The following is a 25,281-nucleotide window of genomic DNA, read 5'->3' as shown; positions in this document are numbered from 1 at the left end:
CCACCAAAGTGGGAGCCCAGGCAGAGGAGGCGCCCAGAGCGAGCGAGGGCTGTGAGGACTGCCAGCACGCTGTCACCTCTCAATAGTGTTTTCAGTTTCCAATCTACTGTTTTCTTATGGATTTCTAGTCCTGGATATGCCCAAACTGGCACTGGACAGTGACTCTAAGAAATATTTACAAAGATGTTGGAGTTTATTTGGGAAGTTTTGACTTCTCTGGGATCTCGTACCTTGTGCCCTAGCCACTTGGGCAACCACAACCTCCAACCTCTGTCTTCTCTACCTAGTAATGTGCTTTCTACTTGGGTACTTTACCATCCACTTTCAGATACTGTACTATGAAAACTGGAAAATTCTTCCAGGTAAAATGCCAGGGTAAATTTGGAGCTCAGTATTTGTACTTTTATTATTTCCAAGTTCATAGTTCTCAAATCAGGCCTACATTATTTGCTCTTATAGGCCTTTAAATACTTGCTTTATAGACATAGTTTTAATAGTTATAATTGTCTTCAGCAGGAAGGTTACTACAATAAAAACTATTCTCTCATGGCTGAAATTCAAAGTTGATTAGGTAAGTTTAAATATGTAAATAAATGTTGATTTAATAATCTACATATAATTTATTTATAATCTATATATGACTTAACATATTTTCCATTTTAATAAAGTAGATTGAGGCAGCTAATAAAAAGGGCTGTTTGTGAGATTTGTTTACCAAAAAGAAATTAAACATTCGATATTAAGCAAAAGAGAACTAAGCAAACCATACAAACCATATGGTTCTGTGACTGAACTTCAGTTTAAATCTGAGTTTCTAGGCAGTCTAGGCACAATAGGAAATACGATCCAATAGATAAACTTTGTTATCAAAAAGGAAAGAGTATATGCCAGTTACACAGAAAGATACCTTTTCATACAATGAGATTTTAAATGAAAATATTTTACATGAGACTTTCTCTAGAGGTTTTATCTAAAATGCTGAAGTAATTTCTTATATATTAAAAGTTAGAGTGATATCATTACATAATAACGGTAATATACACATAATATTAGTTTGCATTAACACCAGCTGACGATAGTCAAACATTTAATGAAACATAAAGTATAATATAAGCTTCTGCTTTTCTCTTTTTTTCTCTTTATTAAGATGTAACTGGCAAATACAAGTTGTGTGTATTTAAGGCATACAACATGATGTTTTAATATGCATATATACTGTGAAATGATTACCACAATCAAGCTAATTAATATATCCATCAACTCAAATCCAACAACACAACATTGTATATGTTTGTGTGTTGAGAACATTTAAGATCTACTCTTTTAGCACACTTCAAGTATTATTGTTAACTATAGTCACCGTGCTATATAGATCTCCAGGATTTATTCATCCTGCATAACTGAAATTTTGTACCCTTTGAGCCACATCTCTCATTCTCCACCCCTGCTCCCCACCACCAGACCCTGGCAATCACCATTGTACTCTCTGCTTCTATGAATTCAACTTTTAAAAATTCCACATTTAAGTGAGATTGTGCAGTATTTGTCTTTCTGTGCCTGGCTTATTTCACTTAGCATAATTTCCTCTAGGATCATCCATGTTGCCACAAATGATAGCATTTTTTTTCCTTTTTAAAGTCCACTGTGTGTGTATACCACATAATCTTTATCCATTCATTTGTTGATGGACACTTTATTCCATACCTTGGCTATTGTGAATAATGCTACAATGAACATAGGAGTGCAAATACCTCTTCAAGTTACTAATTTTTTTTTTGGATATATATACAGTAGTGGAGTTGCTGGACATACAGTAGTTATATTTTTTATTTTTGTATGAACCTTTATACTGTTTTCCATAATGGCTATCCAAATTGACATTTCCACCAACAGTGTACAAGGGTTACCTTTTCTTGACATCCTCCCTGACACTTATTATCTATTGTATTTTTGATAATAACTATTTTATCAGCTGTGAGATAATCTTATTGTGGTTTCGCTTTGCATTTCCCTGAGGATTAGTGATGTTGAGCATTTTTTCTTATAACTACTGATCATTTGTATGTCTTCTATTCAGGTCCTTTGCCCATTTTTAAATCAGGTTATTTGTTTTGTTGCTATTGACTTGTTTCAGTTCTTTATATATTTTGCATAAAACCCCTTATCAGATAAATGGTTTGAAAGTATTTCCTCCTATTATGTAGATTATCTTTTCACTGTGTTGATTGTTTCCTTTACTGTGCAATAGTTTTCTAGTGTGATGCAATCCCACTTGTCTATTTTGCTTTTGTTGGCTGAACTTTAGGAGTTATATCCAAAATATAATTTCCCACACCAATGTCAAGAAGCTTTTTCTCTATGTTTTCCTCCAGTAGTTTTACAGCTTCAGGCCTTATGTTTAAGTCTCTAATCCATTTTGAGTTGATTTTTGTGTATTGTGGTAGACAAGGGTCCAATTTTATTTTTCTGCGTGTGGATATTTATTTTTCCTTGTAGCATTTATTAAAAGGACTATCTGTTACTCATTGTATTTCTTAGTACCTTTATGGAAGGCCAATAAACCATAAATACCTGGATTTATTTCAAAGCTTTCTATTTTGTTCCATTGGTCTATAATGTCAGTGTTTATGCCAGTACCATGCTGTTTTTATTAAAGTAGCTTTCTGATATATTTTGAGATCAGGTATTATGACACCTCTAGCTTTGTTTATTCTGCTCAAGGTTGCTGGTTATTTGGTGCTTTGTGGTTCCATATGATTTTAAATTTTTTTTTCTTATTTCTGTAAAAGATGGCATTGGAATTTTGTTAGAGATTGCATTGACTCTGTATGTTGCTTTGAGTAGTGTGGGCATTTAAACAATATTAGTTCTTTGAATCCATGCATACAGTAAGTCTTTTCATGTATTTGTGTCTTCTTTCATTTTAAAATCAATTTTTTGTTTTCAGTTTTCAGGTCTTCTACCATATTGACTAAATTCATTCTTCAGTATTTTTTTAGGCTAAGTAGAATTGTTTTCTTAATTTGCTTTTTGATAGTTCGTTGTTAGTATATAGAAACTTAACTAATTAATGTAGATGGATTTTGTATCTTACAACTTTACTGAATTTATTAATTCTAACGGGTTTTTTTTTGGTAGTGTCTTTAGTGTTTTTTTTTTAATATACATAATGTATCTGCAAACAGACAACATTGCATCTCTTCCTTTCTGATTCGGATGCCAATTTATTTTTCTTGGCTAATTGCTGTGGCTAGGAGTTCCAGAATTATATTAAATATAAATGGTGAGAGTCAGCATTCTTCTTTGCTAATCTGGGAAGAAAAGCTTTCAGCTTTTCACCACTGAGTATGATGTTAGCTATGGCTTATTGTATATGGCCTTCATTGTGTGAGCTACATTCTTTCTATATCTGATTTGTTGAAATGTTTACCATTAAATGATGTTGTATATTGTCAAATGCTTTTTCTGGATCTATGGAGATGATCACGTAATTTTATCCTTCATTCTGTTAATGTGATATATCACATTTATTGATTTGCATGTTTTGAGCCATCTTTGCATTCCTGGAAAAAATCTTGATTGTGCTGTATGGACCTTTTAATGTTCTATTGAATTTTGTCTGCTAGTAGTTTGTGAAGGGTTTTTGTATATATGTAAATTAGGAATATTGGCTAATTTCCTTTCTTTTATTATGCTTGTCTGACTTTGCTATCAAGGTAATGCTGGCCTCATAAAATACCTTTGGAAGTGTTCCCTCCTCTTTAATTTTTTTAGAAGAGTTTGACAAGAAATGGTGTTAATTCTTTATAAATGTTTGTTAGAATTCACCAGTGAAGGCATTAGGTCATAGGATTTTCTTTGCTAGGAGGTTTTAGTTTACTGATTAAATCTCTTTACTCATTGTTGGCCTATTCAGATTTCCTATTTCTTCATAACTTAGTATTGTTAAGTTGTGTATTTTTAGAAACTTATCCATTTTTTTCTAGGTTGCCCAATTTGTTGGCATATGATGGTTCATAAAAGTCTTTAGTGATCCTTTGTATTTCTGTCATATCAATTGTAATGTCCTCTTTTTCATTTATAATTTTATTTGAGCCCTCTCATTTTTTCTTAGTCTGGGTAAATGTTTGTCAATTTTGTTTATCTTTGCAAAACTAACTCTTACTTTCATTGATCTCTTCTATAGGGTTTTCTTAGTCTCTGCTGTTATTTCTGCTTTTATTTGTGTTATTTCTTTCCTTCTACTATGTTTGGGCTTTCTTTGTTCTCCTTTTCCTAGATCCTTGAAGTGTAAAATTGGGTTGTTGATTTGAGATTTTTCTTCTTTCTTCAAGTAGGCATTTATTGCTATAAACTTCTTACTTAGAAATATTTTTGCTGTAGCCAGTGAATTTTGGTATATTTTTTTCTTTCATTTGTCTCAAGATATATTTTGATTTCCCTTTTCCCCATTGGTTGTTCAAGAATAGGATGCCCAATTTCTACATATTTGTGACTTTTTTCTGTTTTTTTCCTAGTATTTCTTTGGGTTTCATACCATTGTGGTAGGGAAAAGGTATTTGAGATGATTTTAATCTTCTCAAATTTGTCAAGACTTATTTTGTGGGCTAATATATAAAGAATTCTGAAGAATGCTTCATATGTTCTTGAAAAAATGTATGTTTTGCTGCTGTTAGCTGAAGTGTTATGCATATGTCTATCAGGTTCATTTGGTCACAGTGTTGTTTAATTCTGCTGTATCATTTTTGGTTTTCGGTCTGGATGACATATCCATTGTTTAAAGTGGGGTTATATAAGTCCTCTACTATTACTCTGTTGCTGTTTACTTTTCTCTTCATTTCTGTAATATTTGCTCAGTATATTTAGGTACCCCAATATTGGGTTCATGCATATTTACAATTGTTATATCCTCATGATGAACTGATTCTTTTATCATTATATAATGACCTTCTTTGCCTCTTGTGACAGTTTTTGACTTAAAGTCTGTGTAAGTATAGTCACCCCTGCTCTCTTGTAGTTACCATTTATGTGGCATATCTTTTCCCATCTCTTCACTTTCAACCTATGTGTGTCTTTAAAGCTAAAGTGAGTCTCTTGTAGGAAGCATACATTTTGATATCTCTCTCTCTCTCTCTCTTTTTTTAGTCACGTTTGCCATTCCATGTCTTTGATTGGAGAATTAAACCCATTTATGTTTAAAGTATTATTGACAGGAAGGAATTACTATTGTCATTTGGTTAATCATTTTCTATATACTCAGTAGTTCTCTTTTTTCTTTTTTTGGTGTGTGTTGATGATCTTTTTTTTTTTTGTAGTGGTTTGCTTTGATTCCTTTCTCTAGATTTTTTTGGATATCTTTCATTGGTGTCTGTGTATTTTAAGAAGTAAGCACCTCTTCTAATCTTTACAGACTGATTTTGGTAAGGAAAGCCCTTTACCAGTCAGCTGGCTTAATTTTGTGTGAGCAGCTCGTTGGGTCTGTGGGTAGACATGCTGTTTCAGTCCTCAGGTGGGCTGACCTGAATCCTGGGTCAGTTGGCAGGCAAACCTGGTTTCTGGGTTCACAAGGGCTTGGCTGGTGCTTTGTTCCAGTGAGGATGGCCTGGCACTAGGGCGGGCCTGGAGCTGCGGTTTGCAGGAGCCAGTCTGGCACTAGAGTTAATGGAGTATGTCCATGGCAAAACCAAATGTTGACTTTACTCTCCTTCCTCTACCTTGAAGGTATCTCTCTCCACAGTGCACTCCAGGAGCTTGCAGGAGGCTGACATGGGTAGTGTGAAACTGTCCTTTATAACCTCTTCAATGTATCTTTTATCATTTCTGTGCTCCACCTAGGCACCGCAATCTCTCATCTGGAGTCCTTATCTGTTGTGAAGTTATTTTTATGACTGGATGGTTTTTAAATTCATTTTTCTTTGAAAGGATATATGCTGGAGACTCTTATACCACCATATTGCTGATGTTACTTTCCTCTCTGCTATGTTTTCCTTGAGTCGTATTTTCATTCTTATAGCTTTGCAAAATCAATAAAATATAATCATTTGAAATGCATATTTATTTTGTTATGCATTTAATTTTAACAACAATATATGAAGGCATTTAGGCATCATGGAAATGTGTTTTAGATACATATATATATATAAAAACACTAACCTGATAAATCTAGAAACATGTTTGTTGATAGACTGGCCTCAATATTGCTAATAAAAAGATCATATATAAGAGGTCTGGTCAAACTTATTGCATGCTGTTGTAAGACTTTTATGTGTTAGTGGATGCAACTGGCTTGCTAACACAGGTATCCTTGTGTTTGTTGAATGAAAACGAATGTATGAATAAATGAAAAAGTGAATGGATTTTGGATGCAGACTTTACGATAGTGTTCACCTCCAGAGAGAGTTCAATGAGCCCACCTGCGGGATTTGGAGGGCTAGGTGGGTGAGGAACCAGACATCTCAGTACCCTACTTTCTAATTTTATCAACATCTTATATAAGCCATGTGTAACATTACAGTGATACCTCAATTAACACAACCTTTGGAACAAAGGTCCCTTATAATCAAGTTGGAAGCATTGACAATAACTCATAAACTTGCAAAGCATGCTACCATGTGTCACTCTGCTCTGTGTCAGTATTCCAGTGAAGCCGCATGTCTGCACTTGGCAGATACCATTGTGCATAGCTGCCACTGGCACCCACAATCAATAGAACTGATACTATATTCCTGTTCAACTTGTTCTCTCCTCTTGGCTTTCTTTTTTCTGATCTCTTTTCAACATTAATGGCTATATCTCCTTCCACTCAAGTGTCTGATGTCCTTCTGTTCTTTAGCTTCTAATCCCCACCCTATCAAAATAAAAAGAGGTCTTGTGGATAGCTTTTCATACTGGTGACTTGCCTGATTGATTTCAGCTAATTCTGAGGTAATACATATTTATATACCAGGCAGTGCACATTATAAAACCACACCTGCCAATAGTTCTGGGAAGGGATAACACATGGTTTAGAAAGATCACTGAAAAAGAGCATTGTATGATCTATGTCATTGAAGGCTGTATTGCTGAATCACCACATGCTATTGAACTGCCAGTCCTTTTTGCTGACCTTGTTTCCACATTTACAAAATGAGAGGATCGATGATCTCTAAGGATCTTTCCAGATCTAGCTTTCTTGGATACAGAATTCATAACCGAAAACCTATGGAGAGAATTAGCTGTTTCTCTCTCAATTCCAAGATTCGGGAGAACTGAAAATGCATAGTGCCGGCTGATGTTGTTTTATCATGCTGAGTCACAGAAGAAATTTTTTTGAAAATATTTCTCTTGAAATATAAAAGGAATTATCACTAGGGTGCTTAGTAATAACCCCTTAGGGAAAAAGGCAGAGAATTACAAAACCAAGTGGCATGACACCACTACTATCTTCCCAGAATCTGGATAGAAGTTTCAAGAGTCAGGACGTGATTCACAGTGTTCTTTTTTCTTCTGCAATCATGGAATCATGTATCCAAATGCAGCCTTCATCAGCCTTTTTTCTTGAGTTTCAGTGATAAGAATATCTCTCTTGTTAACTCTGGACACATACTGAGTGTGAAAAAAAATTAGTAGCTTCAAACTACTAAAAATCCAACCAACCAACCTAACGTATCTTAAGTTGTAAAACCCAGCTTCCTCCCACTTAGTTTCTACTGCCCTTTTACCAGCCCTAGGCATTTGGAAGGTGGAAGGGGAATTCAATGTACATAATTTCCTATTACTGGATTTACATGGCTTGTAAGGCAAAACTGGGCATTTTGCCTGTAACTCTTCAGAGAGAATTTATCAGGCACAGACTCTGAGCTTAGAATTTTACTACCACAAATATAAGAAACTTAAAAAGGTAGAAAGGCATGTTTCCCTGGTGCTAAAATATTTAAAGGTATTCTCTCTTACCCTCTCCAGTTGTTCTGTCTTTACAGAGTACTGAAATCTCAGACTGATGAGGATCTTATAAGAAAGGTTATCAAATGTTCTGTCTGATGCAGTCTTCCACAGCCCCTTGAAGTAATATCTAACTTTTGCCTGAACATTGTCTTTGATAGGGAACTCATTTCCTCACAAGATGGCCAGTTCTATTTCCAAATGGCATTGATTCTAACAGAGTTCTTCTCTCTACATTAAAGTAAAATATGACTCACTACAATTTCTACCCAATGAAATGTTTAATTCTCCCTCTTGGGGCCTCATGTTAATTCCTCTTACCCTTGATATTCCTTAAAATATTTAAAGACAGCACAGTCTCTGAAATGAAGTTCCTTGAATTCTCCCAGAGAAGGAACTTGAATTACAAAATTGGCTAGAGAGGAGATGACAATTATTTGGATGTACAATTATTTCCAGGTGGTCACAACGCAGTTATTATTATTAATGCAGATGAAGTGAAAATTAGGTAGCAGGAAAAAAGTGAAAGGTTCAATTCCTCATATCTTAAATAAGTTAATGAATCAGTCGATTCATCAAAGCAGCAAGAACAAAAAAGCAGTTGGTGAGAGCTCTATTTTGGCAGGAGGAAAGCTCAATTTCACATCCACTATTTTATGCCTATCTCCTCTCCCTGTGTTGCTAATTATCTAAAATGAAAGTTTTGCTGCTTACTAATGACTAGAAAGAGAAGAGAGAGATAAATTGGTAAAGTTACTAAAAATAATCTCAGAGATACACAGAGGTTGACACAGAGGATGACACACTGAGGGTGCAAAGGATCATTTTCTAGATTGGAAAGCGAACCACATCAAATATTGCAAAACTGAAAAGGGAAAACTAAACTGCTCTGCATTAGGACCATACATAGAAGTGAAAAAGCACAAAGTAAGGGTGATGTGATTAGCAGAGGCACAAGTTAAAGACATAGGACTTTTGTTGTTGTTGTTGTCGTCGTCAAGTAGTGTGGCTATTTGAAATGAATAGTACAAATGTAGGCTACGTTCATGACAGGGTGTTTCCAAACAGAGGAGTATCGTGTTCCAAACCAAGAAACCATACCAAGGGTACAGTTCTAGCTGCCATGGCTTTCAAGAAAAGCAAACATCCTGGAACATTTTTGGAGTAATTTGACTAGGTTGGAGAAGTAACAAAACTATACCTTTACAAAGAGGAATGAAGGCTTTTGTAAATATTCATCTTGGATCAGAAAGAGCTCATGGAAAAACTTGAATGATTCTTCTGGAAAGGACGAATTAGAGGTAATAAAGGGGGAGAAAATTTCAGGAAGGCAAAATAAGGTTCAATATAAGGAAGCGCTTTCTAAACAGAACTATCTAACAATACGATAGGTCAGCTCAAATAGTAGAGAAATTGAGGCTAGGTCCATTGCTACGGATCCTGCTTTAGGGGAAATTTAGGCATCTGATTAACATTCCGGCTCAGTAGGTCCTTAAAATATAAAACTTTACTTCAGAACAAGATAACACCTTGAGACTTGGATTTGCTGTAGTCTTAAGACAAGTCTCATCTAACTAGGAGAATGACCCTAGACTAGAGACACAACTTTTAGTTTGTGCTCTAGGCTAAACAGTTTTGTAACTTTAAGCAATTTCTTTTCCTCCCTGGGCTTGGCTTTTCTTCTACAAAAGGCAGGGATATGTACTTAGATCATTGATTTTCAAACTTAAAATATTACCCGGAAGCATAAATAATTAAAATAAATTAATTAAGGAATACACTGTTGGTGGGAATATAAATTAGTACAGCCACTATGGAAAGCAGTATGGAGGTTCCTCAAAAACATTAAAAATAAAACTACCATATGATCCCAAATTGGACCCCACTTTCCACTCCTTGGCAATATCTTGGAACATCGCATTATAAGTTTGCCTTGTCATCTCAAAGGAACTCTGAGTTGCTTGTGACAGCATATTGAAACATGCTTGGGGTTGGTTAGGAATCATAACTTCTCCACTTGCTAACTGTGTGATCCTGAGAAAATGACTTACCTTCTTTGAGCCTCAGTTTCCTCATTTGTAAAATAATAATGGGTATGTATGCCAATTAAAAGGGGTTTGAGGGAAGATCAAATGAGATAATGTATGCTAAATGCCTGGTACAGAGGGAGTTTCATGAGTTAATAATTTTATCCATTCTTTCCTTTGCCCCAAAGGAAAGGCAATTCAAACACTTCTTAGGGGAAGCTCTCGATTTTTGTGACTTGGTTGTCGCTACTGCCTTTCTTCCCTTGATCCAGTCCTCATTCAGTATTTATAAACACTAAAATAGGAAAAAAGATTGGCTAAGTAAGAAGGAAAGAGCATTTTTTTTTCATTAGGAACACTTTAAAGAGTGTGTGTTTACATATCTGATCTAATTTGATCCTCACAACAACATCTTGTGGAAGATATTACTCTCTCTTACAGCTGAGAAAATGGAGACTAAGGATTCAGTGACTTGCCCAAAGTCACTTCACTAGCTGGAGAGAAACTAAGACTCAAAATTGCTCTGTCTTTATTTTGAAACTCAAGATTTTTGTGTTCTATGTTGTTGTTTAAGTGGATCCTTCTTGGTTTCTGCCCTTGGGAAAGTCTTAACGCTTCCTTTCAGTGTGAGTCTGGGGAAGAGGAGGTGAGATTTCACTCTAGATCAGAGAGGGCAAAGAGCAGCTAGGTCTGCCTTGTCCTTACAGGAACAGTTTCACCTGGTCTTCCCTCACCTGTGGGAACTCTTCCTTCTAGAGCTGCTCTGGAACACTAAAATGTATAGCCTTATCCCACAGGAATAACCATCTTCCTTGCTCATTGTCGCAGCCTGTGTCTGGGGTGTTAAACTCTCTTGCAAGGGAATTTTAACATTTTTTTCAACTTTGCCCTTGCTTGTCTTTAGAATGATCCACAGCTCATTGTCCGCCCCCTTATTTTTGGATTTTGCAAACACCCTAAGGCCTTTTGAGGAAGAGTCATGCTTCCTCGTGGGGTTGTCCCTGAAGTTCATTAAAGTCTGTTTCTCCTGGCACTGCAGTGATGATGTCCCCTATGCTTTTGGCTGAGACCCACAGATCTAGCCTGATCATTGAAATAAGCTGAAGCAATTCAGCAATCCCAAATATGGGAAGTCTGAGTATAGGAAAACCCATAAAACTTCTGATGCAATGGTTGCTGACAGATTTCACCTACCTTCCTTCTCTACACACCCAACTATCCACAACTCACCCTAATATGCAGTTCAGAGTCACACACGTGCTTCTGAAGGGAGAATTTGGCACCAGCTCTCCATTCCCTAGGGCATGGCTGGGGATTATGTTCAACAGATAACTCACCACTAAGGGTGCATTGTATGAAGACAACCATTTCAGGTAGGGCTGGTTTCTTCACTCAGGCTGAATTCATGACATAAGAACAGACTGCTGGCTTTTTTTTTTTTTTTTAATTATACTTTAAGTTCTAGGGTACATGTGCACAACGTGCAGGTTTGTTACATATGTATACATGTGCCATGTTTGTTTGCTGCACCCATTAACTCATCATTTACATTAGGTATATCTCCTAATGCTATCCCTCCCCTCTCCCCCCACCCCACGACAGGCCTCGGTGTGTGATGTTCCCCATCCTGTGTCCAAGTGTTCTCATTGTTTAATTCCCACCTATGAGTGAGAACATGCGGTGTTTGGTTTTCTGTCCTTGCGATAGTTTGCTCAGAATGATGGTTTCCAGCTTCATCCATGTCCCTACAAAGGACATGAATGAGCCTGAGTAGCTCAGTCAGTAGAGCTATTAGGCTTTTAGCATGAGGATCCAGGGTTCAAGACTGCTGGCTTCATGCTGGCCTTACCAGGAGCTCACTGACCTTCCTTCCTCTGTGTGATAGATAGAAATATGCCTAGGAGCTTTAGACAGCTGGTCACCATTAGCTTTTTCCTTGTTTTTGTTTTATCATGAAAAAAAAAAACGCCCTTGTAAATTAGTATTGAGACAAAAGCATAGATTTTTCCAGAGTCACCCCCTCGTTGAAAAGCTCTGATAACTGCACAGTAATAAGAAAATTTCAGGCAAAGAGCATGGCAGAACTAGCATCAAGCATGATTTTTTCCTGCCTGTCCAATATTCTCAGCTAAGTTGCAAAAACTAGAAGATTATCAGGAGTGTTGGGGCCATTGCCCTCTAACAAAAGGGGAGGTTGTGAAGTATTTTTACCTCTACGCTTCAGACAATATGGAAATGCGGATTTATTTCCTGGGTTTCTACTATTTGTCAGACCTTATGCAAGTGGTTTACACATTTGCTTTGTTTGATTGTTATGATAGCATAGTGAAGTAGATATTGTAATGACAATTTTCAGATGACGGAATTCAGCCTCCGAATACCCAAAAGTGGGTAAGTGGGAGTTGGGCTTCAAAACTTGCGCCCTCTGACCACAGAGCTTCATCATCTATTCCATGTAGAATAAGTAGCCATTGCATCTAGATTTCTAGTCCTTGCTAATCTGTTGCATTCCAGGTCCTTTGAAAGTCCTCGTAGTGAATTTATACTGAGCATGTATTTAGTGCCATCCACATATCCAGTACTTGAGAGGGTATAATAAAATTAAAAAGCAGCTGAGATCCTCTCCTTGGAAAATTTCAAAACTAACTACAGAGAAATACATGCAGCAAATTCATAAGGAGGTTTGGAATTGTACAGCGAGATAGCAGACTGGACCAGGGGGACATTCAGTGAGGGAGGGATGATTATGGCTCCCACGAAGTCTTCACTGAAATACTGGTTTCTGAAAGAGCGGAGCCTGTGCAGGGCAGAGAGCTGGGCCTGAAGAAGATTAAGGGTCAGCCTTATGCATCATTCAACTGTCTTTTCTCCACAGCAAAGAGAGATTTCTTTCCAAAGTCTTTATTTTAGAACGTGTGAAATCACAGAGATGGTGTGCGGGACACAGCCTAACTTCTCAACACAACAGACTCATCTACTCTCTAATACTTTAGAGACTAAGGTAGGCAGATTATAGAATGCAAGCTGGGTCTTTCATTCTGGCCCAGCTGTGTGACCCTGGCAAGTTCTTTGTCTTCACTAGTCTTCAGTTTCCCCAACAATTAAGGCAGGGGAGGTTTCAAAGGATAATCTGTGAGGTTGCTTCTGATGCTGGCACGCTATATGTCCTCTCTCAGATAACCCATGTTTCTAGGTATAGTGGAATGAGCACTAAAATGAGAGTCAGGAGCCAGTGATCCTAGGACTGACCCGATGCTACGTGTGTGATCTTGGATAATTGTTTTTCAGTTTCTGAGTTTCAGTTTTCCCATCTATAAAATGAACAATCTGGAAGATTTATCTAATGCCCCTTTCTACTGTGACATTTAATGAATTTAAATATTCTGTCTAAATTATTTCTAATAGAAGTATTCCTTTAGATAAGAAAATAAAAGAAACAAAATAGACCTCCTGAAGGCACCAAATTGGTTATTTGATGTTATTCAATTAAGTTGGTTTTGACTGGAATTTAGCATCTTTTGCTCAAACAATGAGTCAGAAAATTAACTAGTCTCTGCTTTAATTAAATAATAATTCTGTTTAACGCCAATTAAAATACCACATCTGAGTCAATTTGCTGCAGCAAGGTGTAGTTAATGCAGGAAACATGCTCCTTTGCCTTGTGGAGCTGGGTCGATGACTGAGATGTTGGCTTTACTGATTTCCAGATAGGCACTCAGGGCTCTGAATACAGGACAAAAATTCCCAGAGGCCATGGGTGCAACCTTCTCTGATGAAATCGTGCATACCTTAGCTTTCTTCATCAGATTAATTTGCATGTTTTACTATTAGCATTAAAAACACTGAGAAAAATCTAATAACAGTATTTAGCTTTTCAGGCCCATTTTCAGAAGCCAAGCCACATTTGCTTGGTGCAGCGTTCTTCCAGAAAACTCGAGTTATGGCTGGACTGAAGAGGCTATTTGACTTCTCTAAACTTAGTACGATATCACCCATTAGATTCCTGCAGAGTTGAGATAGTGGAGTCATTAAATTATAATAAGAAAGATTTCCCTGCTGTTGCAACCAGATTCAATCTTTCCTTTGAAACAATATGGATTTGATTTATGTTAGTGTAAGGCAGCCACTATATCCCATGTTAAATTTTATTTTCATGTCTAATTGTGTTATATACCTTTTTGATTCTGTCTTATATTCTTGATTTAATAGCTATACAGTCATGTGTCATATAATGGCATTTTGGTCGACAATGGACCACATATGCAATGGTGGTTCCATAAGATTATAATACCATATTTTTCTGTACCATTTCTGTTTGGATACACAAATGCTTATCACTGTGTTTCAATTACCTACATTTCTCAGTACATTAACACATTGCATAGGTTTGTAGCCTAGGAGCAATAGGCTATACCATATAGCCTAGGTGTGTGGTATAGCAGGATATAGTGTGTAGGTATGTGTAAGTATACTCTATGAAGTTCACACAATGACAAAATCACCTAAAAACACATTTTTCAGAACAAATCCTTGTTGTTAAAAGAGGCATGACTGTATTCATAAAGGCTTCTTTTTTAAAAAATGAAATTTATAATTTGTAATTTTCCCATGCATTAATACTTCAGGGGCTTCTATGGTCTGGGTGTTTGTGTCTCTCAAAAATTTATATGTTGACATTCTAATTCCCAACATGATGGTATCGGGAGATGGGGTCTTTGTGGAAGTGATCAGGTCATAAAGATAGAGCTCTCAGGAATGGAATTAGTCCCCTTATAAAATAGGTCCCAAATAGGCTTGTTCACCCTTCCCACCATGTGAAGACACAGCAAATGGGTGCCATCTGTGAACAGGAAACATGTCCTCACAGGGCACCAAATACGCCAATGCTTTAATCTTGGACTTCTCAGACCCCAGAATTGTGAGAAACAAGTATATTAAGTGAAGTCTTGTTATGGCAGCATGAACAGACAAAGACAAGCCTCATGAGAACTTTTGAACTTTGGAAAGTCCTTTATTTAAAGATAAGAAAGCTGAAGCTCAAGGAGTTCAAGTGGATTGCCCGACACCACAGATCTAGTTCTTCCTCTAGCTGGTTGCCTCTAGACACTGCTGTGGAGTTAGTAGTAACTTGACAACTATTGAAAGGAAAAAATGGAAAATCCTGTTCTTCCTTCCTGAGGGAAGTCCCCTAAGGATCATGGAATTTTAAGGCTATACATAGAAGCGCTTTTTTTTTGTCTCTCCACATAAGCAGTCAATGATTGTCTGATAGTGAGATCTGAAACAGCCAATAATAAGTCAAATATGGCCAACTAACAATAACTACAAAACATTTGCTACTTCTCCCTTGAAAGATGGCGACTAATTCTTTCTCCCTTGCAACTGGACTGGCCGTCATGATTTGTCTGTTCAACAGAATGTGGCAGAAGTGATATCCTGGGACTTGCAAGGTTAGAACGTAAGAGGCCTTGCAAGTGGGACTCCTGGAACGTGATTCTCTGGAAACCCTCAGTTGCCATGTAAGATCAACTACCTGAGATTTACATGCCTGTAAGACCACACAGATAAGTACTATTGTCAGGCTCAACTAATTTCAATCTTCCAGTCATCATTGCCAAAGCAAAAGACATGTGAATGAAACTGTCTAAGATACTCTAGACCGGCTATCTCCAGTTAAATACTATTGAGCAACTTCAGTCAATGCCATGTAGAGCAGAAATATTGCTCAACTGAGCCCATCCAGAAGTCTTGACCCACAAAATCAGGAGATATAACAAAATAGTTTTTGTTTTAACTCACCTGGCTTTGGGGTAATTTGTTATTCAGCAAGAGATTAGTGGGACACCAAATTATAAAGAAGCAAGAAAGGGAGTAACTATAATATTTTGTAATATGCTATTTTTTCTTCAGTGAAATTATAACCTGAAATTTACAAGTCATGGCTTCTTATCTATTCCCTATTATTAAGAAGTCCACAAGTCAACTGCCATTGCCCAAGTCTGTGCCTGTTTGTTTTCTGCCTTTATAAGTTCAATAAACCTTCTGAGAGTACCATGTGCCACACATTGCACTAGGTAGTGCCAATGAGGTTACAGCCTCATATGGAAGAAAAGTGAAAAATATGGGTAAGTACAATAGAGATAGTTGCCAAAATGGTTAACTACATGGGCTCTAAGTCAAACTACCAGGACTGAAATTACTGCTGCAGCATTCCTTAGCTGATGAAAATTGTTTTTAGCTTCTTACAACTTCAATTTCCTCAGCTCTGAAATAAAGATACAGTAAGAAATTATCTGAGAGATTTCTTTAGAGAATTAAATGGAATAAGATTTGGAACAATTATTAATTATAAATGATTATTTGTGTAAATAATCATAACATACACTATATGTAATTTGGGTATACAAAAGGAGCAGTGGGAGCATCAAGGAGGGACACACTTAAGGCATGAAATTTTACAAGGGGTTCAGGAACAGTGGAGCTAGCTGAGGGTCTAAATGTGCAGAAAAATAAATCCATGCTTTAAATAAGTATCTTCCTCTGTATGGCAAACTGCTGGCCCTTCCACGGTGTGGAAGGGGTCTGAAGTAGTCAGCTTGCCAAAAGTGGCTATTTGGTTTCCAGGAGAAATGGTGCCATATCAAGGGATCAGTGCAGGTCCCTTTTGCTGACACTGTGGATATTCAGAGGCAGCAATAGCTAAGTCAGTCCCAGTAAGTCATAATCCATGCTGTTGAGCCTGGGCATAGAGTTTATCTCTGCCACCATGGCCACTCCATTCATATTCCCTTTGTGCCAGTTCTGGAGTGGTCAATGACAAAGGCTGCCTAACTTCAACCAGTCAACTTTGTGTATATAGTTATTCAGTGCTTTTTTATTGGTGGATGATTTCTGGTGAGCATTAATTTGTGATACAAACATATTCTCACATTGTGCCTACCCCTATATATCCACCTAAATGCCATTATCCCATATTTTTTCCCCAGTTTTCTTGACCAGACATCTAGACCATTGGCCACTACCCAGAAATATATATATATATATATATATATATATATTCTTTCAATCACATCTCCTTCCACATATAAGGTGTAACCAGATTTGTTGCTCAATTCCATGCATTGGAAACATTGTTCTTCTCAACTCTTTTTCCGGGATATCATTAAATGCAGCACATTCTGTTTTTGGTTTGCGCTCAAAAATCAAGCTGACCAATTGTAACCCAAGCTTGAGTTTTTTCCTCCTCTTTCAAGGTCCCTTGTATGCTCATAGGTGCAGGCCAGGGAAAGGTCACTGGTACAACTATGGTGGGTGACATAGAGATTTGGATTATATATTCCTTCAGTTTATTATGCCCACTGGTCCTTCTCAGGCTCAATCCTAGATATATTATTTCCAACTTAAAATTAACTAGTGCTCAGCATACCTGCCTTTATTATTTGATTGGTGTCTCAGAATCCAGTTCATGATGGATAGCTCCAGACTAATAATTACCTGATATTCCATGGTCAAACATCTTACTCTACCGGGGACCACTAGCCTGCCAATAGCTATTTTTCAAAAGATAAATAATGCTCTACTGCTGAAGGCATAGATAGTCTCGCTCCAGGATCACATGGGCTTGTGCTATAATTCTCTACCTGGAGCTTTCCATAATCTCCATACTGTAGTTTTTCCTACCAGTGACACCTGTGACATCATAGAGTCTACCAGATTATTTGGCTCAAGTGACAAAACAAATTGTTCTGTGGACTGGATATGCTACAAAATCCTTTCCTGCTCCAGCCCCCACTCAAGGCTGAAAGCCATTCATGTCACTCAGGATATAGGACAGAGTAGTATTCCCGTGTAGTATACCTAAGCATGTAATGTTTTGTCTCCACAACCCAAAAAAGCTCACCAAGTGCTACGCTTACTTCTTTGTGGGGTGTAAGATGAAACAATTTTTTTTTACTTTGGAGGGAATGTTGTGCATAATTTTACCCAACATGAAATGAAGAAGATAGGGACACCTGAAGGGAAAGTAGGAGGAAGGAAGAAAAAGAAAGAAGGAAGGAAGGAAGGAAAAGAAAGAAGGAAGGAAGGAAGGAAAAGAAAGAAGGAAAGAAGGAAGGAAAGGAAGGAAGGAAGGAAGGAAGGAAAAGAAGGAAGGAAGGAAAAGGAAGGAAGGAAGGAAGGAAAAGAAGGACGGAAGGAAGGAAGGAAAAGAAGGAAGGAAGGAAGGAAAAGAAGGAAGGAAGGAGGGAAGGAAGGAAGGAGGGAAGGAAGGAGGTAAAAGGAAGGAAGGAAGGAAAAGAAGGAAGGAAGGAAAAGAAAGAAGGAAGGAAGGAAAAGAAAGAAGGAAGAAAGGAAGGAATGAAGGAAGGAAGGAAAAGAAGGAAGGAAGGAAAAGAAGGAAGGAAGGAGGGAAGGGAGGGAAGGAGGGAAAATTGAAAGTGTGAATTGTAAGGAAAGTTCAACAAGGGTGTCAGAAATCCTTGGACAAAAGTTACTCCTCAAGGAGCCCTCACTGTCTGGAAATGGGCCTACTTTAACGTCCCTGCAATGCTCAGTCTTTGGCTGGGAGCACTTGTGGGAAGTGTAGCCCTAGTGGAAATGCTGTAACGAGTATCAGAGCACACAGCTAAAGCCCAGGTAAACTATGCTCACTACAGTCAGAAATTAGAAATAAAAACTGCCTCTTATTGTTCTGTTGGCTCAAATTGAGTTTAGAATTGGACACCAAGTCACGTTAGCACCCTGTGACTGCAAGTACCCACTCAAGCAGGAATTATTCCTATATTAGTGGAGGGATCTGCCAAATCCCCTAGGCTTGTTTCAACCAATCTCTACATCTTACTCAATTCTATTAGCTGTTGCATCATTTGTAGACAAGTAAAGGAAATGCTTTATGGAAATTTTGATCGAAAAAGGCAGGGTGGTATTTTTCACTACTTTCACATGTGTCACCTGAAAATCATTTCTAGAAACTTTCCATGAATGGTCTGGGCTACAGAATAGGATTCAGAATACTTTTTCTATAAAGAGTCAGATAGTAAATAATTTCAGCTTTACAGTCCATATGGTCTCTGTTGCAAATACTCAACTCTCCCAGTATAGAATGAAAGCAGCTCTAGACAATATGTAAGTAAATAGACAAGAGTGTGTTCCAAAAAATAGGAGGCTGACAATATTTAGCCCAAGGGGCCATAGTTTGTCTGCTCTTGTTATAGTGGAAAGGAACCAAGAATTGAGGCTCATGATTCCTGTGTTTAACTCTTCTAATTAACCTATTGTTACTCTGGGAAGGTTATTTTTCCCATGTTGTCCTCAGTTTTCCCACATGTAGAATATGCTTGTGTCCACAGCACCTAGCACAGGTCTGATGCATGGCAAACTATAAGGTTTGCTGAGTCAGCAAATGCATAACTGCATGATAGCTTTTGGTTCAATGGTTGCCAGTTTTCTTCCAAATCAAATATTCTCTGAAAATGGCAGCTAATCCAGGGAGTTAAATTTATCTCTAGACCTCTACAAATCACGAATTCTGCATATTCCCATGCTGATGAGATTAAATAAAAATGTAGAGTTTTAGTGATCTAAATCAAGCATGTGTAGGCCCACATTCAAGGGCATTGTTGAAGGGTTTGAGATGTCTCTCCAAGCTTGTTAATTATTCTGACTCAAAGGAATCTCAAAAGAGAAAACAAAAAGTCCAGTTTGGAAATTAGCAAGATCGTGTTCATGTATCTTTGACTTTACACACATATTCTTGTTTGGTGATACAGACTTTATCATGTTTGCCATGAGCTACTAAGCAAATTCACCTGTCTTTCTCTCTTATGTAGCAAGCGAGCTCTAAGACCAGTCTTTTACGTGTGTCACAAGAGAGGAATAAGCCAAACATCAGAGGAATTTTAAGAATTCTGCCACAGGTGTAAGAAAACAAAATTATGAAATGTGAGAATGGTAGGTACCATATATATCTTCTAATCCTCATTTCACACTGGGGAAATTAAAATGCAGAGTGACCTAAAAAATTATACATAAGATCCAGTCACGTCTCTCTTTAAAATCTTTCAATGGTTTCTTAGTCATTCATTCACTCAACAGACGCTTATCTAGCATCTGGGTTGTAGAAATAGCATGTGGGGTGTATAGTGAAGATTTAGTGCTGAATAAAGCATGCTTTTCCTTTTCTTGTGGAGCTTTCATTCTGACATGAATAAAAGTATTTAAAAATTATTTTAAAATAGTTATAAACTTTGAAAAGTGCTACAAAGGAAAACAGAAGGGTTGTATAAAAGGGTGCGCCATGATTCAGATTGGCAGGCAGGGAGCACCTTTCATTTAAGCTACAGTCTAAATGATTAATAGAGGTATCCTAGACAAAGGAGAGGAGTAAGAGTACCCTAGGAAGACGGCATAATAACATATGGGAAAGTCGTGAGACAAAAAAAGAATTAATTGCTTTCTAGTAACCAAGTACACTGTGCCAGGGTGAGGAGAAAAGTAGCATAAAATGGGTTTAGTGAGTTAGACTGGGAACAGATCAGGCAAGATCTGAAGATCATATTAAGGACGGGAATGCATGAGAGTACTCTCATTTTCACTAAATATGATCTCCTACTCTGGCTAATTTGTGGAGTCTGTTGGAAACAGGCAAAATACAAACAAAGTGAGAACTTAGGTGAGACTAGTGTCGTGGCAGAGGAGATGGAGAGTCATGGAAATATTTGAGACATTCTTGCATCATCACGGCTTGACGAATCATTGGAAAAGATAACTTTTGCTAAATGTTATCATAGCTATATGGTATGATAGAAAGAAGGCATTAAGTAAATGTTTGTTGATTCAATTATCAAGACCCAAAAAGGTGAAGTAAGGTCACATGGTCAAGAAAGCCAGAGCTCAATCTAGAACTTAGGTTTCTTGACTCTTATCCACGGACCCTTTTCCTGCTCACTCTTCTGCCTCCAGGCCTTACCAACAGTAGAATTTTGGTATGTTAGTTCTCCTGCACAAATGAAAATGTATACAGTTTGATATCAATGAGACCTGAGTTTAATTCTGCCGTTTTTGGCTTGTTACTCAGGAACTTCTTTAATCTTTTAGTAAATTAATTTCCTCATATACAAATGGTGAGATCTAGTATTGACTGAGTGAATGCTAACGACTAGGCTCAGTTTTCATGGTAAGAACACAACAGTGAACAAAACTATCAAAATCACTTCATTTGTAGAATTTACTTTTGTGTCAAGGAAGTCATAAATGTGCTATTTATTGTCGCCGCTCCATCCCTACCCCTCATCTCAGTAACATAGGGGACTAGAAGCCTACATTTCTCTAACTCACTGGTCAGCTGGCATCTCTGTAAGTTCTACAAAAAAAGGGCATTTGTGGAAGACTGAAAAGCAGAAGACAGGAAAAGGTTTTTTGCTCTGTTTTTGGAGGTGCCTCAGACAGTGACAATAGTAATGGCAACAAGGGTTTCCAGATTCACCACCAGGCAGCAGACTCTAATGTACCATATCAACAAAGACCCATTTAGGAAAAATAGGAGCCACTTAGACATTTCCAACAGAGAACATTTATTGTAAGGATTCAGTTATTTAAAATGTTGAAATAGCTGAAAGGTGAAAAGAGAAACAGGAAATTATCGAGAAGTAGGAATTGCCATCCCAATAACTAGAAGGGCAAAAAAGGAAATGTTTGTCACCAGAATAAAGGTACCATCCATCTTAGCCATGTCTATGAGACTGCAGGAGCACACGCTGCTGCTTCTGCTCCTATTGAAATCTTTACCACTGCTGCTTTACAGGAAGCTAGAAGCCTCTACTCCTACTGGCACTGTAGGTGCCCCAAGTCCAAAGTCTATTACCACTGTTACCCCAAGCTAAATTCCAAGAGTGTTAGGCCATCAAGACTTCAGGAGCCCCTGCTGCTGCTTCTGTTGGAATCCCACAGACTAGGATGGTACCCTGGAGCCCTCAGTGATTGCCAGAGCTATTGGTGTGATCCAAGATAGGGATAGAAACAAAATAAAATGACTTCTCTTTTTCCTCCTGTCAGTCTCCTCACAGATCCTCTCAATGACAGAATCTATCCAGAAGATAAGTAGTAAGGATATCTGGGAAATGTAGCTTAGAAGCTTCTAGCCTTCTGTCATTTAGAGGAACACGGAAGGCAGAGAAGGAGCAGCAAGCCAATAGACAAACAACTATTCCAGTAAACAAAATGTATAAGTAAATTTTATACTGGCCAGGTGCCGTGACTCACGCCTGTAATCCCAGCACTTTGGGAGGCTGAGGTGGGCAGATCACGAAGTCAGGAGTTCGAGACCAGCCTGGCGAATGTGGTGAAACCCCGTCTCTACTAAAAATACAAAAATTAACTGGGCCTGGTGGCGGGAACCTGTAGTCCCAGCTACTCAGGAGGCTGAGACAGGAGAATCATCTGAACCTGAAAAGCCGAGGTTGCAGTGAACTGAGATCTCACCATTGCACTCCAGCCTGGGTGACAGAGTGAGACTCCATTAAAAAAAAAAAAAAAAATTATACCATGTTAGAGGGTAGCAAGCAAGTACTATGGAAAATAAAGTAGGGGAGGAAGATGGAAATTGCTGTGATGTGGAAGGAGGAAAATTTTTAAATAATATGATCCCTATGGGTGTAAGTGAAAACATGACATTTGAATCAAGAGTGAAGCAGGTGATGGAAGAAGCCATGTGGATATGCTGGGAAAGAGTGCTCCAGGCAAAAAGAACAGTAAATGTAAGGGCCTTGTGGCTGAAGTTGGCCTGGGGTGTTGACAGAACAACAAGAATGCCAGTGTGACCAGAGCCCAGTGAAGCAAAAGAATGTGCAGAAAGACCAGAAGTCAAGAACAACAGGAGAGCAAAGAGGAAATGGGACTGCATCAGGCCTTATAAGCCACTGTAAAGATTTATTCTTTCACTCTGAGTAAGAATGGGAGCTATATGTAGGTTTTTAAGCAGAAGAGTAATAAGAACTGACTACTAGAATAATAGTGTTCATCTCACAGAGTTACTATAAAAAGTACAGTGTTTAGAACATTGTAGGGAAGATAGTACAAAAGTTATTGTTAATCCACTTCTTATGATGAATACTAGACACTGTAAGTATACCTTCTGATGGAATCTGCTGTTGTCTGATCCCTTCAATACTCTTAATTATATAAATATCTCCTCCTTCTTCCAATTAAGGTTTGGTCATTTTGCTGAATAATTAGACTGTGGAGGAGTTATGATACAGCAGTGAGAACTCCAATCCATCAGATAACTAGTAATCTTGTCCACAAAGTTATTAAATTATTCCCTCATCAGAAGCTTAGTAAACTGTCCTCATATGTCCCTGTACCCTTTAACAGGCAGGCCCCAGCCAGCTTTCTCACCCTTCATTGTAACCTCTCATTTACCCTAACAGCTATTTACATTAGTGTGTGTCTAGGAGTCTTTTTAGGCTCTGATCAGATGCTAGAGGAATCAGATAATGCATTGTCATGATTCACAGGGACAAGTAGGAAATAATTCCAGACAGTCAACTTATCCAGGTAACCAAAGGTGTAAACACTAGGTCTTTCAAACCAGCTTCAACCGTACGACAAGAATCAAAAGAGTGATGAATCATTTGCTCTTTAGTCTAGAGTCTAGACCCTTTATCACCTCAGCCTACAACTATGACCAGTTCTTACCAGTCAAGTACTTTGTAAATCATACAGATTTCTAAACTCTGCATTGCTTATTAACTTTGTCATTTTCTATGGGAAACAGGAATTGAGAAAGACAAAGGGAGAGAAATGACAAATATCCTAAGAATGAGTTCTGTAAGACTTTAAAAATATTTCTCAAAATTTAGCATGCTCCAGAATCACTTTTCAGGCTTGCTGAAATGCAGGTTGCTAGGTCCCACCTCCAGAGTTTCTGATTCAGAGTCTGGGACAGGAACCCAAAATTTGTATTTCAAACACATTTCAGGTTGATGTTGCTACTCTGGGGACCAAACTTTTGAAAACCACTGCTCTAAAGCATTGACCTTCAAAGAATTTGTTAGCATGTCTCAATATAATTTTGAAAATGTATGTACCTTTCTTTACATTTTTAAGTTGATATTTTAAATTTTTCATCATAAATTGAAATAGCCGCAAAGTTAATAATTTTCAAAGTACTATAAATATTGACATTTTAAATAAAGACTATTAGTTTTTAAATAAAACTTCTAAATGATTCTAATAGAATATAAATACCACAGTGATTTAATCCATAAACTCATCTTTTAAAAAATACATGAGAAAGCTCATTCTTAATACCATTTGGAAATATGTCATTCTATTTTCTCCTTTCAATCATACATTCATCCCATTGCCCTTGTATTATTTTATTCTCTTGTAGTATACTTTTATCTATAAAAATTTTAATATGATTACTTATCTCTACTTGTCTGTAATAAAGCACACATATAAATTTAAGCCTATTTTTAATGACCTGTGACCATAAGACACAAGTGCTAAAATATTACTTCTGGATTAGGCTATTATAATGATTATTATTAAAAATAATTAAAGCAACTGATTAAAGTAGACTTTCTGATATCAATATTCTTAACGACTACTTTGTTGGGATCCCTCAGAAATTTTATACCTCAGGTCTTGAGACCAAGGAAGATAAGAGACAGATTCCCTGTAGTTGTTAGTGAAAGTGATGTCACAGTGAGAGAGTCAGATTGTAAGAACTGTGTGAAGTCCTCAACTCCTGGATTTTTCTTATGGAAAAAGAAGATATGTATATACTGAAGATCTAGAAATTATTTTGCTTAAAATTTTGTATCATTCCTTTGTGTCCCTTATGCTGCTCTGTGTACCTCAAGGGGTGATCAAGACTCCAGTTTGAAGATTACTTAGAGACTAAGGCATTTGTTGGTTTCACTTTCTACATCTCACTGACATAGGACTCTACATGATTTTGAAGTAAATAACTACTTCTTCTTTATTCATAACAATAGTCACAACTAACATTTATACATCACTTTTCAATTTATGTCACCTTATTGTACATTACCTCATTTTATCCTTACAAAAACCTATAGAAAGGTAGGCAAAGAAAACATTATTGTCCTTATTTCAGAGTGGAGAATTATTTTCCAGGAGTATATTGCCTAGTGCCACACAGGCAGTAATAAAGCCTAGTTTCAAATTCCCCTCACTCTAGTTCCAATTTTCCATTGAATTGTACCAGACCTGGGGCTCTCTTAGGAAATGACCAGATTGAATAACACAGGCTCATCTTCCTACTCAGGAATAGGGGATGTTTGCATTTTCAAGGTGAGGGCCTTGAATG

The 25,281-nt window shown here is 37.4% G+C and overlaps 1 annotated feature.

Moving 5' to 3' along the window:
• Window positions 8,938-9,077: an enhancer, noted in NCBI's record as "active region_20982". NCBI's record gives its function as "activates an Ori minimal core promoter by ATAC-STARR-seq in GM12878 lymphoblastoid cells {active_cell/tissue: GM12878}" and the evidence as "EXISTENCE:reporter gene assay evidence [ECO:0000049][PMID:35858748]".

The sequence above is a fragment of the Homo sapiens genome, chromosome 3 (assembly GCF_000001405.40).
Source record: "Homo sapiens chromosome 3, GRCh38.p14 Primary Assembly".
Classification (NCBI taxonomy): domain Eukaryota; kingdom Metazoa; phylum Chordata; class Mammalia; order Primates; family Hominidae; genus Homo; species Homo sapiens.
This window is presented reverse-complemented; position numbering and strand designations above follow the sequence as displayed.